The 20,519-nt window shown below is 45.4% G+C and overlaps 1 long non-coding RNA gene across 1 annotated transcript in view, besides 6 other annotated features; it reads right to left on the reverse strand.

Moving 5' to 3' along the window:
* The window catches only part of LOC105374945 (uncharacterized), a 148,669-nt gene that overhangs the window by 16,195 nt on the left and 111,955 nt on the right, over nucleotides 1-20,519 (reverse strand). The window lies entirely within an intron of this gene.
* Nucleotides 95-595: an enhancer, noted in NCBI's record as "H3K4me1 hESC enhancer chr6:14876936-14877436 (GRCh37/hg19 assembly coordinates)". NCBI's record gives its function as "activates a minimal SCP1, AML or CMV promoter by ChIP-STARR-seq in naive H9 embryonic stem cells {active_cell/tissue: H9 hESC(naive)}" and the evidence as "EXISTENCE:reporter gene assay evidence [ECO:0000049][PMID:30033119]".
* Nucleotides 376-565: an enhancer, noted in NCBI's record as "active region_24060". NCBI's record gives its function as "activates an Ori minimal core promoter by ATAC-STARR-seq in GM12878 lymphoblastoid cells {active_cell/tissue: GM12878}" and the evidence as "EXISTENCE:reporter gene assay evidence [ECO:0000049][PMID:35858748]".
* Nucleotides 3,135-3,645: an enhancer, noted in NCBI's record as "H3K27ac-H3K4me1 hESC enhancer chr6:14879976-14880486 (GRCh37/hg19 assembly coordinates)". NCBI's record gives its function as "activates a minimal SCP1, AML or CMV promoter by ChIP-STARR-seq in naive H9 embryonic stem cells {active_cell/tissue: H9 hESC(naive)}" and the evidence as "EXISTENCE:reporter gene assay evidence [ECO:0000049][PMID:30033119]".
* Nucleotides 3,646-4,155: an enhancer, noted in NCBI's record as "H3K27ac-H3K4me1 hESC enhancer chr6:14880487-14880996 (GRCh37/hg19 assembly coordinates)". NCBI's record gives its function as "activates a minimal SCP1, AML or CMV promoter by ChIP-STARR-seq in naive H9 embryonic stem cells {active_cell/tissue: H9 hESC(naive)}" and the evidence as "EXISTENCE:reporter gene assay evidence [ECO:0000049][PMID:30033119]".
* Nucleotides 6,611-7,322: an enhancer, noted in NCBI's record as "H3K4me1 hESC enhancer chr6:14883452-14884163 (GRCh37/hg19 assembly coordinates)". NCBI's record gives its function as "activates a minimal SCP1, AML or CMV promoter by ChIP-STARR-seq in primed H9 embryonic stem cells {active_cell/tissue: H9 hESC(primed)}" and the evidence as "EXISTENCE:reporter gene assay evidence [ECO:0000049][PMID:30033119]".
* Nucleotides 15,474-15,674: a silencer, noted in NCBI's record as "peak5674 fragment used in MPRA reporter construct". NCBI's record gives its function as "represses an SCP1 promoter by STARR-seq MPRAs in K562 erythroleukemia cells {active_cell/tissue: K562}" and the evidence as "EXISTENCE:reporter gene assay evidence [ECO:0000049][PMID:32103011]".

Consider the following 20,519-nt stretch of genomic DNA (forward strand, 5'->3'; position numbering starts at 1 on the left):
CAGGAAGGGGCAATTAGGAAAAGAGCAAAAAAGAGTTATCTTGCTGACCTTATCTCTATTAATTATGGAAAGTTCTCTCTCTCTCTCTCTCTCTTCAATTTTTATTTTTCTTTTTTTATGGAGATGGGATCTTGCTATGTTGCTCAGCTGGTCTTGAACTCCTGGGCTCAAGCAGTCCTCCTGCCTCAGCCTCCCAAAGTGCTGAGATTATAGGCATGAGCCACCGCACCCAGCTTCTTTCTCTGTCTCCCCCAGTCTCTCTCTCTCTCTCTCTCTCTCTCCCCTCTCAAGAGCTAATAAAACTAGTAAACAGAAAAGCCAAAGAAACTTAGGCTGCTCATGAATATTCATCTGAGGAAGGCTTCTGTCAATAAGGTGCATGGTGGGAGCTGGATTCTTCCCCTCTTCACCTAGGTTGACCAAGGGGGACATGAAGGAGCCCGTGCAAGCTCAGCCTGGGCACCCACCCATGGAAGGACAGCAGCCTCCAGGGCAAGGTCAAGCAGGAGAGGCCCCAGTCAGATTTCGATATTGAGAAGTACAACCATTTTGTGCTGTTTAAAAATACGGATGTGTAAAACCAGAGCGTAGTCATTCTTTGACATGCTGTGTGATTTTCCTACACAAATCAGAGCTTTAAAAGCCTTGGAGGGGATAAATGGAATCACAGGGCGAGTACAACAGGATACGGTGAGTCATTTCAACTTCCTGCTAAACATGAACCCTACAAAAGCTTGATGTGTCTCAGATTTTTTGCTGGGGGTTTTCCTCCTCGATTCAACCTCGGGTTTCTATGGCTTGCTCCTTCCTTCTTTTTATTTCTTTCTATGCATCACATTTGTCCTAGATCCTTCTCGGTCTATAAATAACATCATTGTGTCATGCTGGACACTGGGTTTTAAATGTCAGCATCCTGTGCGCAGCCTTACCCCATGAGATAATATGGTTTTTCTAACTGCATTCCTACAGCACTGAACTAACTGAGGTGTTCAGCTGCTAAAAATTTTCTTAAATGGTGACATTTTCATAACCCCAGGGTTAGGGGATGGGATTAAGTTAATGGATAGAATTTTCTAGAATTTTCTCAATGTTAGGCTTTTCTCCAGTAGACTTTTTTTTTTTTAGGTTTGTAGTTCTTGTGACTTCTTAAACAATGAACAAAAAGAAAAATGAAAAAGGAATGAATGTTTCTCTTGACGCAAAGAGGCAAGAATAGGATTTTTTATATTTCTGAATTAAATTTATTCTGCTTCTGATCCCCACCTGCCTAGCTGGTAGGAAATTCAGTCTCAGTCATTATTGAGGCTTCCTTCCCCCGCCGTGGCATTGTGAGTGCTATGTGGTACCAGGACTTGAATATGTGAGGAGGGAAGGAATGTACCAGGAGGTTGAGCTGTGGGGGCTGCCACTGTGGCCAACAGTCCCTCTCTCTCTGCTTCTGTTGAGCACTGGTTGCCTGGCAAGATCAGCACATCCTACTCTGAAAGAATTCAGGGAGCCCCCATGTAGCCACTGTGTCCACAGATACACCCATGGGACCCCCACCCTAACCCTACAGGCAACCTGCCACAATCCTCAGGAGGCACTTGGCACAAGAGGGACTGTCTGGGAGGAAAAACTTTTCCTCTACCCTCTTAGGTGCGGTGATTGGGGATGTGCAAACTAAACTGGCAAAAGATAGATGAGGACGAGAAAAAAAACAGATTATAATTGTATATGTACACACTGGAATTCACAAAGACTCAAGGAGTCTCAAGGAGGTGGTTAGAATTCAGGGCTTATATGCTACCCTATTAGGGGAAGGGGAGGGGCAGAGGGGCACTTCTGGGAAAACAAATGACTACTTAGAAATGGAGAAGAAATGGCACTTAGGGAAAACAAATGACTTTTTAGAAAGACAAATGTGCCCATAGGAGAATAAAAGGGAAAAATGATCTTTTTGTAACAATATCTGTTTGACTGTGGTACCAATTTCTCATTTCCAAGAAGAGAAGATTAGAATTGCTTCCAAGGAGGGGATTTATAAAAACTGAGTTCTTTTGGGAGGCTCTGCTTTTAGGCAGATAAGAGATTTCATGAACTCAAATGCCTTCAGCTCAAAATAATTTTTTTATGCCACCTTGGCTTATTCTAGACCCCTTCAGGGCCCAGGACCTCCCATGTTTAGAGATCCCAAAGCCAGTCCTGCTCTTAATTTCATGGACTCCCCCACTCCTTACCCACCAACCCAATTCAATTTCTCAACTGTGAACATTTTCTTTCATCCCTTTCCTTTCCCAGAAGGCCCAGTGTAATCCTACTCAAAGGGCCTTTACAACAAATATCAGGTGGAGTTGTCTTCTGGGTACCAACAAGTCATGCTTTGGTCTTATAAGACAAGACTCAGTTTCTCAGGAATGAGGAAGGTGAAAATACAACAGGGAGAACAAAAACACATATCTCAATAAACTGCCTGTCAAAAATATCAATGGAATGACTTAAAAACATGACTGTACTTTGGATATATGTATTTTTCTATTGTAATGTTTCATTGCATGCCCGCACATAACTTTCAGTCTCAATCATTGTTGGGGCTTCTTTCCCACCTCCATGGCATTGTCAGAATTGCTGGTATAATTATTTTACATTTATGGCCAGACACGGTGGCTCACACCTGTAATCCCAGCACTTTGGGAGGCCAAGGTGGGCGGCTCACCTGAGGTCAGGAGTTTGAGACCAGCCCGGCCAACATGGTGAAACCCCATCTCTACTAAAAGTACAAAAATTAGCCGGGCATGGTGATGCATGTCTGTAATCCCAGCTACTCAGGAGGCTGAGGCAGGAGAATCAGGAGGCAGAGGTTACAGTGAGCCAAGATCATGCCACTGCACTCCAGCCTGGGCAAGAGAGTGAGACTCTGTCTCAAAAAAAAAAAAAAAAAAAAAAAAAAATTTTTACATCTGTGATAGTCTGCCAAAAGCACCTGATTTTCAAGTTCTATATCCCCTGAACAAGTTGCAAACTACTGATATTGTATATGTGAAAATAACTTGTGCCCTGCCAAGCACATGGTGGGTGTAGAACAATGGCCTGTGTATTCTGAATAATACCATCTGATTCAATGTGGGGGAGGGAAAAAAGAGAATGAAATGTGTCTTGGGGAAGAGGGGCCACTCGCCAAGAAAAGGTGTGATCATGGCCCCCTTAGAACTGAGATCAGAAGATTTATCAGAGTATAGAAAGATTGCCAGATGAAAAACAAGATGCCCAGTTAAATTTGAATTTCAGAGAAATAATCACATTTTAAAATACAAGTATATATTATATGATATTTGGGACATACTTATACTAAAAAACATTCATGGTTTATCTGGTCAAATCTAACTGAGTATCCTATATTTTCATTTGCTAAATCTGGCAACCCTAATTACAGGGCCCTTCTAAACTATCAGCTTAAACCATTGGTAACATGGATACTGCACCCGACAGCGCCGGATTTGAAAGGGTGCCCTAAAGTAGACACCAAGGTGGGTAGGTCGAATAATGTAGCACATCATGTCAACATTGCTGCTGGCCTCCAGGCCTGCATCGCTTTTCTCTGCCGCAAGCTGGAGCTGGCACTGTTTTGGTAGCAATGGTTGCTGTGCCCTGGGCAGCAGGCAGCAAGGCATCCTGCAGGACCAGGGAGCCCTTGGCTGGGAACATTCTGTTTCCTTCACAGGTTCCTCTTCAGCCTCCAGTCCAAGGCCCAGTCTTGGGCCCCCGCTCTCCTTTCTTCACGCTTTCTCTAAAAGAACATTTTTCCAGGCTCACACTTTCTTTCAATCATCACCTCTAAGCGGATTTAGTCTCCAGGGGCTCAGGCAGCAGCCCCACTGTTGAGCTGCACTTGGGTTCCTCATCATGTTCTTAAACTCAAACAGGCAAAACAAAACTCACAACCCTCCCTCCAGACCAGCAGCCCCTCCTCGTGTCTTTGGGTAGCCCTGGTCTCTATTAGTCCAACCCCTGGTGGCATCTTTGACATCACTTTCTTTCCCTTCCCATAACAAATCAGTCTCCATAGTCTCAGCAGTTTTTGTTGTTATTGTTTATTTTATTTTCATGATATTGGCGCTCAATTACAATGCCCCCAAATCCAGGCTTTCTGTCTCCAAGTCTGTCTTGTTATTGTCATTCCCCTGCTGAAAAGTTTCCATGGCTTCCAGCTTCCTGCAAGGTTAAACAGAAACTTTTTTTCCTGTCTTTCATGGCCCTCCATAATAAAGGCCTGCTCTGCCCAGAAACTTCGGTTCCTACTATTTCCCAACACATTTCCTCTTTCACAGCAAGGCTCCCGACCTCTGTCTCAGGAATCCATCAATCCCATTTCCATCTCCACTGCCCCTTTCCCCATGGAGAATGTTCTTGCCTCCAGCTGTCTAAATCCTGCCCATCCTTTAGAGACAAGGGCAATTTCCTTTTATATTGTGGAGATTTCCTTGTCTAATCCAGCCTGCTGGGATCTCTTTCTACAGCCTTTACCTTACAACAAAGGACTGTAAGGATACAATCATGAAATTTTCTTTGATTAAAAGGATGGAGGAGGCTGCTCCCTTCACCAAGATCCTGACTTTTCTCTCTTTGCACAATATTTTTGGTATCCTTTTGGGGTGGAGCAACTGAGTCAGGAGAAAGATTTTCCAGCTCCACAGGCAGAGTCCCCTCTAGACACAGACTTCCAGTATCTCCCAGCATCTGGTCTCCAAATCGGTGACACACATACTAAGCAAACGGCTTTGAGGAGCTCACTTTTCCCTCCAAAATGAAAACAATGAGAAAAATCTAAATTGTATTGCATTATGATAAAAATGTTCCCCAGTGTTAATTTAATGCATAGGCAGTGCTTATGGTTCTTCTTGACCTTAGTGAAACTTTTTTTTTTTTAAGGCTACTATTGTAGTAGATCTTTGGCACTGGTCAATGCTATGAGTCAACCCTTTGAGGAAGTTGTGGATCTTGGTTTGTGATTTATCCAGTGCTGCCTAGTTAATATCCTGACTTCTCCCAGCTCCCAGCTCTGCTCGTCCAGCGGTTTCCATCAGTTCAGAAACATGAGGCCCCAGGGCAGGACCGCATTCTCTAGTGAATCCATTTCAGATACTATCATTAAAGCCCATCGTGAATAAAGCTATGGTGGGCCTAAATCCAATCTTTGTTTCTGAAATTTGGTAAGGACCATCTTCTTCATAAGAGTTCTAATGCTTTCAAATTTCATAACTATCCAGATGGAACAAATAAAGACATTGATTCTAAATGGCCATTTCCCCTAGATATTGATGGGCTGGGAATAACAAGAATGATTCATGGAATCACATGAAATCAAATTCCATTTGGAAACTGGGTAAGGTAAAAACCGTATATATAAAAAATATATAAGAGGCCAATCACCAGCAATGTAATTTTAATCATATCCTGGGACCTTGCTCTAATTAGCAAGATCATTTCTGTACAACGCAAACTCAGAACAGACCCTTTCCAAGGATGGTCATTGATTGAAGCAACTCTGGGTACAGGGTGGAAGGGAGCAAAGACCAGAGGAAGGAAAGCCAATTAGAAAACTATGGCCAACAGTTCAGGCAAGGTCATGAGGACCTGAAATAAAATGGTGAGAGCAGGAAGAAAAGGACACCCTTAAGAAGCATTAAGTCTGAGTGTGTCTAATGAACTGACCAGTGGCCGGCAGAAGCCATTTGTTTAAGGAGGTGATGCTTGGCAGAAGGAAGTAAGAGAAAGAGAGGAATGCACTTACTCAATGGGGGTGATGTCTGCAAGAAGGTGCTTATTGTGTTTGTACCAGATGTTGGACCCTGACCTGGCCCCATGGATTTATGTCCAAGTTCTGCTGAAACTTGGCTGAAAGAGGAGCTGTGAGACACAGGAGCCCAGACATGCTGCTTTGTGCCCAGTGATGAAATGTAACCCAAAAGAGAGGCGAGCCATGTTCTCCCCTCTCTTGCCCAGGACCGAGGGTGGCTCAGCTCAGGGATGTGGGTGAGGACCAAGGCATTGAGTGGGCCTGGGGAGCAGGAGCTGTCAGGCTTTTGGCAGAAGCCCAAGGGTCATCCCAGGGAACACAAGCAGCAGAGGAACCCAGCAGTGGACCTGGGGGCCAGGGACAGCATAAAGGCACGAGCCAAAGAAAAGAAGCGAGACCCCAGGGACTCACAGCGATAAATGGCTGAGGTTCTGAGTGATGGGGGAGGGGCCGGAACAATGAAATGTGAGTTCTGACAGTGCATTTGACCTCATCTGTACCCACAAGCTGGCATGCCTGGAAGCATTCGTGTTGCAAATAGACACACACCCGTACTTATCACATTACATTACAATCCACAGTTTACATAACTTTCTTCCTCGATACTCTCTGAGCCTCACAAGCATTAAAGACACAGATCATTCATCCTTGTGTCTCAGAATAGAGCACAGGACAGGTAGTAGGTGCTCAGTCAGTGGTGGCCTGTAAATGGATGAAATACCAAGAGGAATCTCATCACCCAGTCCCCCAATACTAAAACAGTGTTACTACGAAACTCCAACATTAGAAACAAAAATCAACAGCATGCTTCCTGTGGAAACCAGGATTCCCAGAATAACACTATGGCCCAGAAGACCCTGGTCTCTTCAGGTACTGCTGGCAAGTTGCTCTATTTCTCCACTCCTGGCAAAACAGAGATGCCTTTGAACTTAATAAAATAGACTTTCGGCCAAAAATAGCAAGCAAAATCAGAGAAGCCAAAAAATTAAAAATAAAACATTATTTTCCTTTCTGTGTGCAGGGGACGGCAGAAGGGGCAGGGAAGCATGTTAATTAGCTATTCTGGTGACCACGTATTTAAGTAACAGCCACACTTAACATATGCGTCCAACCAGCTTCAATTCCATGATCTGAGAGGTGGTGCTCTCCAGAACCGCTTGGGCCAGGAAAAGGTGACTAGAGATTTGATTAAAATGCAGGCCCATGCCGGGCGCGGTGGCTCATGCCTGTAATACCAGCACTTTGGGAGGCCGAGGCAGGTGGATCACTTGGGGTCAGGAGTTTGACACCAGCCTGGCCAACATGTTGAAACCCTGTCTCTACTAAAAATACAAAAATTAGCAGGGCGTGGTGATGGGCACCTGTAATCCCAGCTACTCGGGAGGCTCAGGCAGGAGAACTGCTTGAACCCGGGGGGCGAAGGTTGCAGTGAGCCAAAATAGTGCCACTGCACTCCAGCCAGGCAACAGAGCAAAACTCCATCTCAAAGAAACTAAAATAAAATAAAACGCGGGTCCTAGAGGAAGAGGAAGGAGCTCCGATGGAAGTGCTGCTACAGAAAAGTCACATGGAAGCCCACAGAGCCACCAATTAGATCTGCTGCCCAAACTCCACAAAAGCAAAGTTTGAAGAGACAGTGAGGAGGAAATAGCCCAAAGAGGCCACTCCTTCCTGCAGAGGTCAACCAGCTGCTCTGAATTAAGAACTCTCAAGTCACTGACACAACGCAATATGACACCTTTCCAGCTGATGGAGTGCAGAGCAATTTTAGTGTGGATGCAGAGGCTTCTCCCTGGTGGGGTTGCCCGGCAGGGGTCACAACCCAGAATAATCCCATTAAGTTCCAGCTGCTGCACCCCATCCCCTGTAATTTACGGTCATGTCAGGGCCTTACCCTTACCAGTGCAACCAAATTTAAACCCACTCTTGGTGATGATTCTGCGATTCTGTGTGAGCGCAGCCTGGGGGTAGGAGGAAGGAGGGAGCAGCGGCTTAAAGAGATGCTTTCATTTATGATCCAAGATCTGAGTTGTCCTTCCCCCTACCCTTTTTCTTCTGCCAGAGACACTGATTTTTTTAACTGCTCTGAAAGAGGTCCACACTTTAGAGCTCCATCGTCTTTGGCTCCTCCCACTATTGATGAGAAAGAACAGAATTGACTCCCAGACCCAGGCAGGCAACTTTTCCAGCATTGCGGCCTCAGCCGGCTACCAGGATCGGAGGGAGCTCTTTGTAGGCTCTGGAGAGAATTGTTTTCAAAGCCAAACATAAGGAATATCAATTATAATGTTTAAAAGAATTTCAAAACAAGTGTTTGGCATTCCAGCTTACTTTTCTAGTCTCCACACTTGAGGAAAAAAAAAAATCTTGTATTTCCAAACACTAAATTATGTGGCTTTTGACTTTGAAAATGGCCTGGTGATATTATTTCTTAGGATCTATGTGGTACAGCAAATGGTGTATCTGCCCATCACAACTACTCTAAAAGATTCAAGAGTCGCTCAATATTAAGCTGAGATGAGACAAAGATAAGACATGAAAATAAATTTCAGGTCTAACTGAGACTGGCTTAATAAGACTGATATGGTACAAAAGCATACGAATTTTTCACTCCCCTACTAAGAACATATTTTCCAACACGAATCCTGCCTTCCAGGACAATCCAGCCCAGTCTGAAATAATGCATGTGTAAAAAGGAATGGAATAGGAAACAGAGACAAGTGAAGGTGGCTATAGAAGTTCAGAATACAGGCCGGGGGCAGTGGTTCATGCCTGTAATCCCAGCACTTTGGGAGGCTGAGGTGGGCGTATCACCTGAGGTCAGGAGTTTGAGACCAGCCTGACCAACATGGTGAAACGCTGTCTCTACTAAAAATACAAAAAAATTTTGTGGTGGTAGATGTCTGTAATCCCAGCTACTTGGGAGGCTGAGGTAAGAAAATCGCTTGAACCCAAGAGGCGGAGGTTGCAGTGAGCCGAGATCGCGCCATTGCACTCCAGCCTGGTTGACAAAAGAGAGACTTCGTCTCAAAAAAAAAAAAAAAAAAAAAAAAAAAAAAAATTCAGAAGACAGAAGTGCTTCTGGATGGAGAGAGGGAGATGGACAGGAAGCTGCTCTATTTGCAAGAACAACTGAGAAGCTTCATGGGAAAGGGAAATGGAGCTGTCTATTTGGACACTTACAACTGATGCCTTTATGAAGCTCCTCAGACAGCCGTACGGGGTCAACACACTTAAAGAGCCAGCAGAGCCCTGGATGAGAAACTTCCCGGCCAGCTCCCTCTGGACCACAGCCATCTTCCTAAGAAGGCGGAGATGAGCTAAAAACTGAGTCAGTCGAAGCTCTATCACTGTCCCATTGCAGGCTGTGACCTGGTGTGGGGGAAAGAATTGTAATCCCCACCCACTCACCCTAACCCAGAGCCTGATGGAGAGGAACAGGATAAAAGTCACACAGGTTCCTCATTCATGAGGCCTTCTGGAGGCAGACAGAATCCCAACTATAGTGGCCAGACCAACAGTGTGGGGTCTGTTGTGGGGAGCTGCGGTGGTGCCTCCATTGCCATCACAGCCATTTTCAAACACTAAGCGACTCCCTGTTGGTCCCCACCCAGAGGGAAAGCCCGGCAGGACTAGAGAGATCCAGCAGGGCTGGGGGAGAGTCAGGGGGCTGCTGCGGTTCCTGTGACTGGGACAGTTTGACACAGTGGGACCAGGATGGCTCGGAGAAACTCACTACCCTACTAAGGGCTGTAAGAGGACATGGCATTCAGGCTGGGCCTCAAGGAGGAGAGTGTGAACATCTGGATGAAAGAGAGGCATGCACCCAAAGGTTTCACACAAAGGCATTCAGTGATGAAAATAAAATATAGAAGAAGAAAAGGTGCATTTCCAGGAATGAAAACCGGATAGAGCACAGACCCACATAAGCATGCACATTGTTTTTTGCCTTCTTTCTTGCAACTTTTCCATATCTTATATCAGCTCAGGGACAGAGCCATGAGCTCCCTCCAAATTTTTCCACATCCCAGCTCTCTGTGGTTCATTCATCGTAATGTTTTTTTAAGTCATGATGTGCTTAAGATATTAGGAATGAATGGAGCTGCACTCACCTGCCCCTGCTGACTGCTTGTTACTGCATCTATCCTGCTCATTGTTCTAATTCTACTTATTTTTATTTTTTTGAGAGAGTCTCACTCTGTCTCCCAGGCTGGAGTGCAATAAGGCTCACTGCAACCCCTGCCTCCCAGGTTCAAGTGATTCTCCTGCCTCAGCCTCCTGAGTAGCTGGGATTACAGGTACCCGCCACCATGCCTGGCTAACTTTTTTTTTTTGTATTTTTAGTAGAAATGGGGTTTCGCCATGTTTGCCAGGCTGGGCTCGAACTCCTGACCTCAAGTGATCTGCCCACCTCGATTGTTGTAATTGTAAATTCCCCACCACACACACTCACGTTTCATTTCTCCCTCCTCTGACATTAGTTCGCCTGACTTACGGAAGTCAGGGGACTTATCTCCTGACAAGGCTAGGTGATGACTTAGGAGAAGGAGGATCATGGGTCTCTGGCCTGAAGTAAGAGCTTCCCTCTGGGATAAGGCAGGAGTTGGAGGCTGCAGGTGCGAGGAAGGAAGCCAAGGTCAATGTCACATCTCACTATTCAGAGTGTGGTCTGGGGCCAGCAGCATCGGCATCATCTGGGGGTTTGTTAAAGATGCAGCATCTCAGGCCCAGCTCTAGAGCAACCGAATCAGAATATGCATTTGAAGAACATCCTAGCAAACAGATCTCCAGTCGCATTTGAAGAACATCCTAGCAAACAGATCTCATTGGTATTAGCTAATATCTACGATACTATCTGTATTATCTAACAGATAACCGACAAGCACTGCACATTGAGGTGTCTCTCTACCTATGTCATCTCTTTTAATCCTCAGAACAACCTGACACAGACAGTCTGACCCTCCTTTTTACAGAAAAGCAACCGTGGCTCAGAGAGGTTAACTTATTTGCCCAAGACCACACAGCTACCTTTCAGCAAAACATAGAGTTTAGCTGAATCTGGCTGATTCCAAAGTCACTGTCTTTTCCACCACATATCTGAAGTCCAGTGCTGAGTGGAGAAAAGAAAATTCTAGCAATAAGCCCTCACCACCCAGCAAGTCAGTGATGTCAGTCAGTATCCTGACTGAACAAATGCATGCAGACAGGCAGTTATCTGAATATTTGTCAGCAAGTTACAAGCCCAGTGGGTTGGGAACCCGGAGTGAGGATCCATTTCTGAAGGCCACAGGAGGACTGCCACGAACCAGGCTGCACCCCTGTCCTAGGGCATCTGTAACACTGAGCAGGGACCCCAGGAACAGGCAGACCTGACCAGCCCCACACTGGGAGAAACGCTCCAGACCAGCAGCCAGTTCTGAACCCGATGTAGCGGACAAGTCCGGGGCTGCATGCCAGATGGCAGAGCAACAAATTGCAGTTTCTTTTTTTTTTTTCAGAGGGAGACAGGGTCTTACTATGTTGCCCAGCCTGGTCTTGAATTCCTGGGCTCAAGCAATCATCCCGCCTCAACCTCTCAATGTACTGGGTTTACAGGTGTCAACCACCACACCTGGCCTAAGTTAAAGTTTCTTAAATCCTTCCCACCTAAAATCAAACCTGGGCTTGGGGGAAAGAAGCAGCTGTAAGAAGACCATCCTGAGGACAGGATACTGACTAAAGTCATTGCCTTGCTGGGTAGTGAGGGGTTTGCAATGTCATGAGCAGCTTTTGCTATGTGGTGAGCAACTGTCCCGGCATCTGCCGTCACGGGCTGGGAAGACCAGGTAAGAGTTGACATGCCCTGCTAGAGATGAACCCAAGGTGCTGTGGGCGGCCCCACCCAATATATTCTCCATGGAACCCAAGAGCCTTGTCAAGTTACTGCAAATGCACAGTCTTAGTTTCAAATCAAGGCCCTCCATCCATAACTGCTTGTTTCAAGGGAAGGTCGCTGCCAAACTATTTCTTCATTTCTAATAGGCACCTAGAAAGCAACAGAGGGATGGTAGAAAGCCACATGACAGCCATTTGGCAAAGCTTTTCAGAATTGCTTTTCTATTTTTCTGTTTTGTAGGCTCTGGGGTTCCATTGAGACTTCTACAGTCAAGCAAGGATCCCATTTCTTAACATTTTGCAAGCCTTTTTTACAAATGCCAAAAAACATGCCTAGGGCAGAGCCATGGACTTTCTGAGCTCTGTTTACTAAACCACAGATTGTGACAGCCCCAGAGCTGGTTGTTCCCATCCAATCTGTCCTTCACATTGTTACCAAATCTGGCTTCTTAAATCAGGCCTGTCACCCTGTTGTTCCCTTGCTGAAGGACTTCTATCACTGGTGGGAGCAAGTCCAACCTCGGATTTGCATTGGCACCCCTTCATCAGCAGGCCTGCTTCACCCCTGAAGCTTGGTACGTACTGTCCATCCCCCAGGGCAGGGAGTAGCCAAGCCCAGTTCCTTCGTGCCACTGGGCCTTCCTACCGCAGTTGTTTCTACCAACTGTGCTCCCTTAGGCAGCATGGTGGTGAAACCAAGCCAAGGCCAGAGTCATATGGCAACAGCCCCACAAACTATGTGTCCTCTGCCCAGCTGCAGGTGTCGCACAGAGGTTAGGTGAAGTGGCGTGCTGATAAAAGTTTAATAAGTGGCTCTCCAGGAGAGAAAATGTGTGCATATGTAGATGTAAACACATAGGTTTATTATAAACTTTACTGCTATATGATACACACAATCTGGTAAATTCCATATAGCCAATTGTTTCTTATGTATGCTTTCATTGATTTTTATTTTACTTATTTTTATTTTTAAATATAATAACCAGAGACAGGGTCTCACTATGTTGCCCAGGCTGGTCTCGAACTCCTGCCCCATCCTCCTGCCTCAGCCTCTCAGAGTGCTGTGATTACAGGCATGAGTCACCACACCCAGCAACTTCCATTGATTTTTGACAAACTCTCTTCTCTGTAGCCAACCAGTGTGGCAACTGATGAACAAGTATAGTTCTGGGATGGCTGTTGGTTGCTATTTTCATTTATGTAAACAACAGGAAAGTGAAACAACTAAGATCTGTGTCAGAATTCCACTCATTCGTCAATGATAGGAACAACTCCTTTACAGAATCAGATACAGTTGTCAAAGACTGGAGGAAGATTTTCTCAAATTTTTTTGTGTCATTCACAAAGTAATGGCTATTGATAGGCAGACTTTAAAGTTTTATCTGTATGTTTAATATTATCTCCCTCACTTCCTTAAGTCTAGACCAAGGGTTCCATAAAATTTGACTCTTACGAGCCAGATAGTAAATATTAACTTTGTGAGCTATTCGGTCTCTGTCACAACTACTCAACGGGGCCATTGTAGTGCCAAATCAGCCGTCGACAACAGGAACACAAAAGAGCGTCCCTGCTATGTCCCAATAAAACTTTTTATGAAAGCAAGTGGGGGCCCAGATTTGGCCCACAGGCTGTAGTTCCCAACCCCTTGTCTAGACAACCAATGAGACAATAAATCCAGCCTGATTTGTAGCGTTTGTTTACAAATCAGTTGCTGTGGCTATTTCAAGCTAACAATGCAAAGTCACTGCACGAGGAGTATGGGGAGGTGGTGTTCACCAGCTTGTAGAAATCTAATGTCATATTTCTACTGGTGTGAGTTTCCTAGGGCTGCCATCACAAGGTGCCACAAACCAAGTGCCTCAAACAACAGAAATTCATTGTTCCACGGTTCAGGAGACTGCAAGTCCAAGTTGAAGGTGTGGGCAAGGGGGGCTCCTTCTGTGAGCCCCGAGGGAAAATCTGTTCCCTGTGTCTCTCCCAGCTCCTGATGGTTTGCTGCCGTGTTGGGCGATTCTTGGCTTCTGCTGCATCGCCCCAATCTCTGCCTTCATCTTCACGTGACATCCTCCCTGCGTGCATATTTCTCTGTGCCCAAACTTCCTCTTTTTATAAGGACACCAGTAATATTGGACTAGGGCCCCACCCTAATGACCTCATCTGAACTAATTACATCTTCAACAACCCTCTTTCCAGATAAGGTCACGTTCTGAGATACTGGGGGTTAGGACTTCAACATATGAATTTGTGGAGGGAGGGAACACAAATGAACCCATAAGACCACCGTACAGTGACAATAGTCATAAAGAGCTTCTAGAGCATAGATAATAAAAAATAGTTGGGAGGCCGAGGCGGGAGGATCACGAGGTCAGGAGATCAAGACCATCCTGGCTAACACGGTGAAACCCTGTCTCTACTAAAAATACAAAAAAAAATTAGCCGGGCATGTGGCGGGCATCTGTAGTCCCAGCTACTTGGGAGGCTGAGGCAGGAGAATGGCGTGAACCCAGGAGGCGGAGCTTGCAGTAAGCCGAGATCGCGCCACCACACTACAGCCTGGGTGACAGAGCGAGACTCCATCTCAAAAAACAAAACAAAACAAAACAAATAGCTAAACAGGCTGGGCGCGGTGGCTCATGCCTGTAATCCCAGCACTTTGAGAGGCCAAGGCGGGCGGATCATGAGGTCAGGAGTTTGATACCAGCCTGGCTAACATGGTGAAACGCCGTCTCTACTAAAAATACAAAAATTAGCTGGGTGTGGTGGCAGGTGCCTGTAATTCCAGCTACTCAGGAGGCTGAGGCAGGAGAATTGTTTGAATCCTGGAGGCGGAGGTTGCAGTGAGCTAATATTGTGCCGTTGCGCACCAGCCTGGGTGTCAGGTGAGACTCTGTCTCAAAGAAAAAAAGAAAAGAAAAGAAAGAAACAGCAAAACACCTGGGAAGTGATGACTTTTGAGTATTTATTATATTTACTTTAATCTAATTTATTTAGTTGTAAGTTCACTTATTTAGTTTTATAATTTATTTAGTATAAGTTCATGTAAGACATACATACATATATATTTGTTTGTTTGTTTTTTGAGATGTGGTCTCACTCTGTCACCCAGGCAGGAGTGCAGTGGTGCAGTTTTGGCTCACTGCAACCTCCGCCTCCGCCTCCACGTCCACCTCCCAGGGTCAAGTGATCCTCCCATCTCAGCCTCCCCAGTAGCTAGAACCACAGGCACGTGTCACCAGGCCAGGCTAATTTTTGTATTTTTAGTAGAAACGGAGTTTCATCATGTTGCTCAGGTTCATCTCAAACTCCTGAGCTCAAGTGATCCATCTGCCTCAGCCTCCCAAAGTGCTGGGATTACAAGCATGAGCCACCACACCCAGACTATAGTTTAATTTATAATAATAGGTGTGTTTAACAACTGGCTCACAAAATTCTAATCAACTCTCTTAAGCCAAAATGCGTTGCCTTCAGCACACCCCTGGTTTAAGGGGATATGTGCTACAGCAGAGCTCCCCAGGGAAGTAGGGTCCTGATATAGTTTGGCTGTGCCCCTACCCAAATCTCAACTTGAATTGTATCTCCCAGAATTCCCACATGTTGTGGGAGGGACCCAGGGGGAGGTAATTGAATCATGGGGGCTGGTCTTTCCCATGCTATTCTTGTGACAGTGAATAAGTCTCACGAAATCTGACAGGTTTATCAGGGGTTTCCACTTTTGCTTCTTCCTCATTTTCTCTTGCCGCTGCCATATAAGAGGTGCCTTTCACCTCCCGTCATGATTCTGAGGCCTCCTCAGCCATGTGGAACTGTAAATCCAATTAAACCTCTTTTTCTTCCCAGTCGCGGGCATGTCTTTATCAGCAGCATGAAAACAAACTAATACACGTCCCCCCCAGGGGCCGGAGACAAGAGGAACCAACCCATGGTCCTGAATTCCTCCCCTCCCGTGGGATCACTGTGAGGCAAGATGTGTCCATCTCACCCAGTTTCCCCACCCTTCTGGCCCGCTGCAGTTACCTGAGAGCCTCCATCTCACTGGGCCAAACTTAATTCTGCTGCTCCAAAGAAAAGGTGACAATTTCTTTTTGTGCTAAGCAGGAGGATATCAGGCTTCACACCAGAGCCCATCCTTACTCATTGTTCTCTGGTTCTCAGTCTCCCTCCAAGGCCAAGTAGAACCCTTAGATCTCCTAGTATCTTCTTCAATAAAGCCAATCCACACAAGTCTATGCCTTCACTGAATTCCTATACAATCTATTCCCATATGGCATCATATTATCCTCTAGATGACTTCTGCATGAATCTCCTCTGTCTCTACTAAATTTATAAAATATTTGGAAAGACAGGCTGTGTTCTTTGCTATCTCTTTCTGTCCAGCCCAAAACTAGCCAGATAAAACCAGGGGTTTAATAAATGCTTGTTGTTTGCATAGAGAATAGCAAATAGTAATCAAAAGCAATTTTGTCCTAGGTCCAGGTTAGAAAGAATCAGGCTTTGTTCCAGAGGAGGGCCAAAGTAAAACTCAAGTATAGTAATCATTTCTGCTCACAAGTTTTAGCATGTCTGAAAAGGAAAGAACGGCTCAGACCAAGAAGCAGGCTCAGCGAGGATGGCTTCTCCGTGTCCTCTAACTGTGCCTCATGGGGATATGCCGAAGGTGGGGACAATGGCCAGCAGCCCATGAAGAATAAGGAATCCCCTGTGTGTTAGTTAGGCTAATGCTGTCTGTCATAACGAGCACACTCCAAATTCTCAGGGGCTTCACAAGATACAGAGTTATTTAATTTTGCTCACATCAATGGTAGAGACTGGTGGTTGGGGATGGAGGGAAGGAGGAGAATGGGGGAAGGGAAACTCAGTTCACACAACCATGGTAAACACACCTGACAGAAGCTATGCCATCTTCCACACATGGTCCCCATGCCCTGGCCCTGGGGGCTGAGGTCAGTTGGCATTCCTGGAAAGAGAAAACATGTACAGGATCCTGTAGGAAAGTTCTGGGGCCAGGACTAGAGGCGGCGTCATCATTTCTGCCCACATTCCATTGACTGGAACTCACTTTCATGGCCCTACCTGGATCTAGATGGGCTGAGAAAGCAACAACTTTACTGTGGGAAGGGAGCACAAATCACCAACGGCAGCTGTCCTCTCTGCCACTTCCCAGGTCCAAGAAAAAAACCAACAATGGGACTTCCTGGCTTTGATCCTCCCTCTTCTCCTCAGGAAGGTCCATGCCTCCATGCCAAAACAACCTATGCCACCATGCAAAGCAACGATTTTGTCACTCAGTAAGCCCTACCTCCCATGCCTAACATCCAGATTCCAGACCTTAAAATCCTTGCTATCCCTTCTCTTGTAAAGGTTCCCTTTTCTGCATCTAAGCCCCAAGCTACGTAACCTTCCTTTATCTGCACCTGCATCACAAAGCCTAGGTCTTCCATATAAATGAGTCTGGCCAGGACTTCCCATAATCCCCAACAAGGTGTCTTAGTCCCTTTGCATCACTATACAGGAATACTGAGGCTGGGTAATTTAGAAAGAAAAGAGGTTTATTTGCCTCACGGTTCTGCCAACTGCACAAGAAGCACGGTGTTAGCATCTGCTTCTGGTGAGGACCTCAGGAAGTTTCTACTCATGGCAGAAGACAAACGGGGACTAGCAATGCATGGCAAGAGACAAAGGAAGAGAGAAGGGAGGAAATGCCAGGCTATTTCTAATAACCAGATCTCCTGGGAACTAACAGAGCAAAAATTCACTCAATACCAGGAGAACAGCATCAAGCCATTCATGAGAGACTTGCCCCCATGACCTAAACACCTTCTACCAGGCCCCATCTCCAACATCAGACATCAAATTTTAACTTGAGATTTGGAAGGGACAGACATCCAGATTATATCACAAGGATAAACCAAGTCAGAAGCTTAATCCACCCTGCTGTGTAGAATTTGTCTTGGGCATTCAAAAAGGGTGGATAGTTAAACTCTAGCAGAGTTGTAAATCATTCACAAGAATTGTTCTAAGCCAGGGAAGAATATCACTTGGCTGGAAAAGTTCAGTCAATACATGAGAATGGACCTGATATCTCAAATTCCTTTCAGCTCCGAGGGAGTCCAGTTCCAGTTGCTATGTCCTAGTTCTATGTGGCTAGAACATCCTTCAGTTGCTCTGTTCAAGTGAAGTGGCTAAAGTCCTACTTGTCATGTGGTCTTCTGCCTTCAAATGGTTCTCAGTTGCACCGAGTGGGAAGCAAACAACATCACTAAGGTTGGCAGTCATTTTTGTGTTTCGGTAGGCTCAGTCTCTAAAGAATGCTCAGGAACAGCTGGGTGCAGTGGCTCATGCCTATAATCCCAGCAGTTTGGGAGGCTGAGGTGGGTGATCATCTGAGGTCAGGAGTTCGAGACCAGCCTGGCCAACGTGTTGAAACCCAATCTCTTCTAAAAATACAAAAAAATTAGCCAAGCATGGTAGTGGGCGCCTGTGATCCCAGCTACTTGGGAGGCTAAGGCAGGAGAATCGCTTGAACCTGGGAGGCGGAGGTTGCAGTGAGCCAAGATCGTGCCATTGCACTCTAGCTTGGGCAACAAGAGCAAAACTCCGTCTAAAAAAAAAAAAAAAAAAGAATGCTCAGAAAGCCCATTCTATAGACTCAGAATACAGACTCAGAGATGCCAAAAGCTGTAGGATATTTAAGGGCATTCTCCAAGCTTCTGTATCTCAGAAAGGGACACAGGGATACCCAGTTTTGATTTTCTAGACTCGGGTAGAAATTTGACTGTTTTCAGTCTGGAAATCTACTGCAAGTAGCCATTGTTTGACTTCGAAACATGTGCCACTATGAGTTACCAGAAATGCCACACTCTGAAATTTTTTATTTGTTTATGAGCCATGAAATGACAGTTAGAAAAACAGCTAAAGTGGGGTGAACACATCCATAGAGTAAGTTCCCCAAAAAATGCCAAGTTAGAAGATAAAAGATCCAGAGCATAACTCAGACTGATACATGAAATGAGAGGAGAGAGAAAATAAAATACTAAACTTAAAGACAGCATTCGTATGTGGAAACAAGTGGAGCTGAATTGAGACAACTATTGTGTCATGGCCCTTGAAGGAAAACAGCAAATAAAAAGAAATACTCTCACACCACCTAAAACAAATTTACATGATGTTAAGAATGTTGGGCCAGGTACGGTGGCTCACACCTGTAATCCCAGCACTTTGGGAGGCAAGGCGGGTGGATCACGACGTCAGGAGATCAAGACCATCCTGGCTAAAACGATGAAATCCCATCTCTATAAAAAAATACAAAAAATTAGCCAAGCGTGGTGGTGGGCACCTGTAGTCCCAGCTACTCGGGAGGCTGAGGCCGGAGAATGGCGTGAACCCAGGAGGCGGAGCTTGCAGTGAGCCGAGATCGCGCCACTGCACTCCAGTCTGGGCAACAAGAGCGAGACTCTGTCTCAAAAAAAAAAAAAAGAATGTTGAGCTTGACAAATTTTAACCCTGGGATTTAGAAACTTGAATATATTTGAATTAATTTTACAGTAGAAGGGGAAAAATAAAAAAATGGAATGAGGAAGCTTTATAAGAAAAAGATACCAATTTTAAAGCTGTTCTATTTAGCAAAAGAAGTGATGGAATACTAACAACCCATAAAAAGTGGATGGATCATCCAGGTCCTTGGGAAAGCAGAGATGAGACATTTATTAGCTGAACAGTACACAGCAGCCTTAGATGAGACCACGGGGTGGGTGACAAATGGCCTCCCTTCTGAAAGACTCTCCTCTTTTTTCCCAGGAGAATACCCAAAGTAAAACGTACGCCTTGGGCATCTGAAAAGATGGTGAAATGTAAAGCCTCCTACTACGGCTTTAATCACGTAAAGCTCCCAAAATAAAACCTAAAGGGGAAAAACACAAGTCAAGCAACTTAACATTCAGCCTATGTTTAAGAAATAAAACCAAATAAAATAAGAAGTAAAACTCCATACTCCAAGGTGTGCATCTGGGACAATCTATATTGTGAAAGCCAGACTGTAATGGAAACTGCAAATGTCATTAGCTGCAGAGCTGCCAGCAGACCCTGCCACAGCAATGGCCATGCAGCCACACCCCACCAAGGGTCCCCGGAGGGCCCATTGATGGGATTCTCACAAGACACTGTACCCTTGATTGGACTAACTATGAATAGTTATTCCCTTCAAAGAAGAGGAGAGTTTAAGAAAAGAGGGTTCTGCTCCTTGACTTATGACAGAATCTTTTCTATATTGGAGAAGGAGAGCAAGAGCACACTGCCATGGTGGTCACCCTGGATGGCCTCCAATAACCTACTTCTTTTCATAGTCACCACCTTGTGTAGATCCCTCCCACACTGACTCTGGGCTTGGCCACATGACTTGCCTTGGCCAGTGAAACTTGGCAAGAATGACACAAGCAGAGGCTTATCCTTCTGGAATGCTTGTTTTTAGAGGCCTGGGCCACCAAGTGAAGAGGTCTCTCTATCCTACTGGTAAGTCCACGTGGAGTGACAAACACATAACAGCAACCAGCTCTTCCAGCATCCCGGAGGCGGCACCAGACATTTGTTGAGTGAAACCCGTGGAACAGAATAGCTACTCAGCTGTGCTCAGCCCAGATAGCAGAGGTGGGGGAAATCATAATTTGTGATTGTTAAGCTACTTTGTTTGGGGTAGTGTATGATGCAGCAATCAATAACAGGTTTTGTATTTACCAATGAGAGGACTTCTTGTCAAATGCTTTGACTGTGGAGATCAGTTGGACTTTAGTGCAAAACTCATAACCACTATTGACTAGGAGTGTGATTTGGGGTTGTTTATTTAACCTCTCTTCATCTTTTTCATGATAAAGTGGGT

The sequence above is a fragment of the Homo sapiens genome, chromosome 6, assembly GCF_000001405.40.
Source record: "Homo sapiens chromosome 6, GRCh38.p14 Primary Assembly".
NCBI lineage: Eukaryota > Metazoa > Chordata > Mammalia > Primates > Hominidae > Homo > Homo sapiens.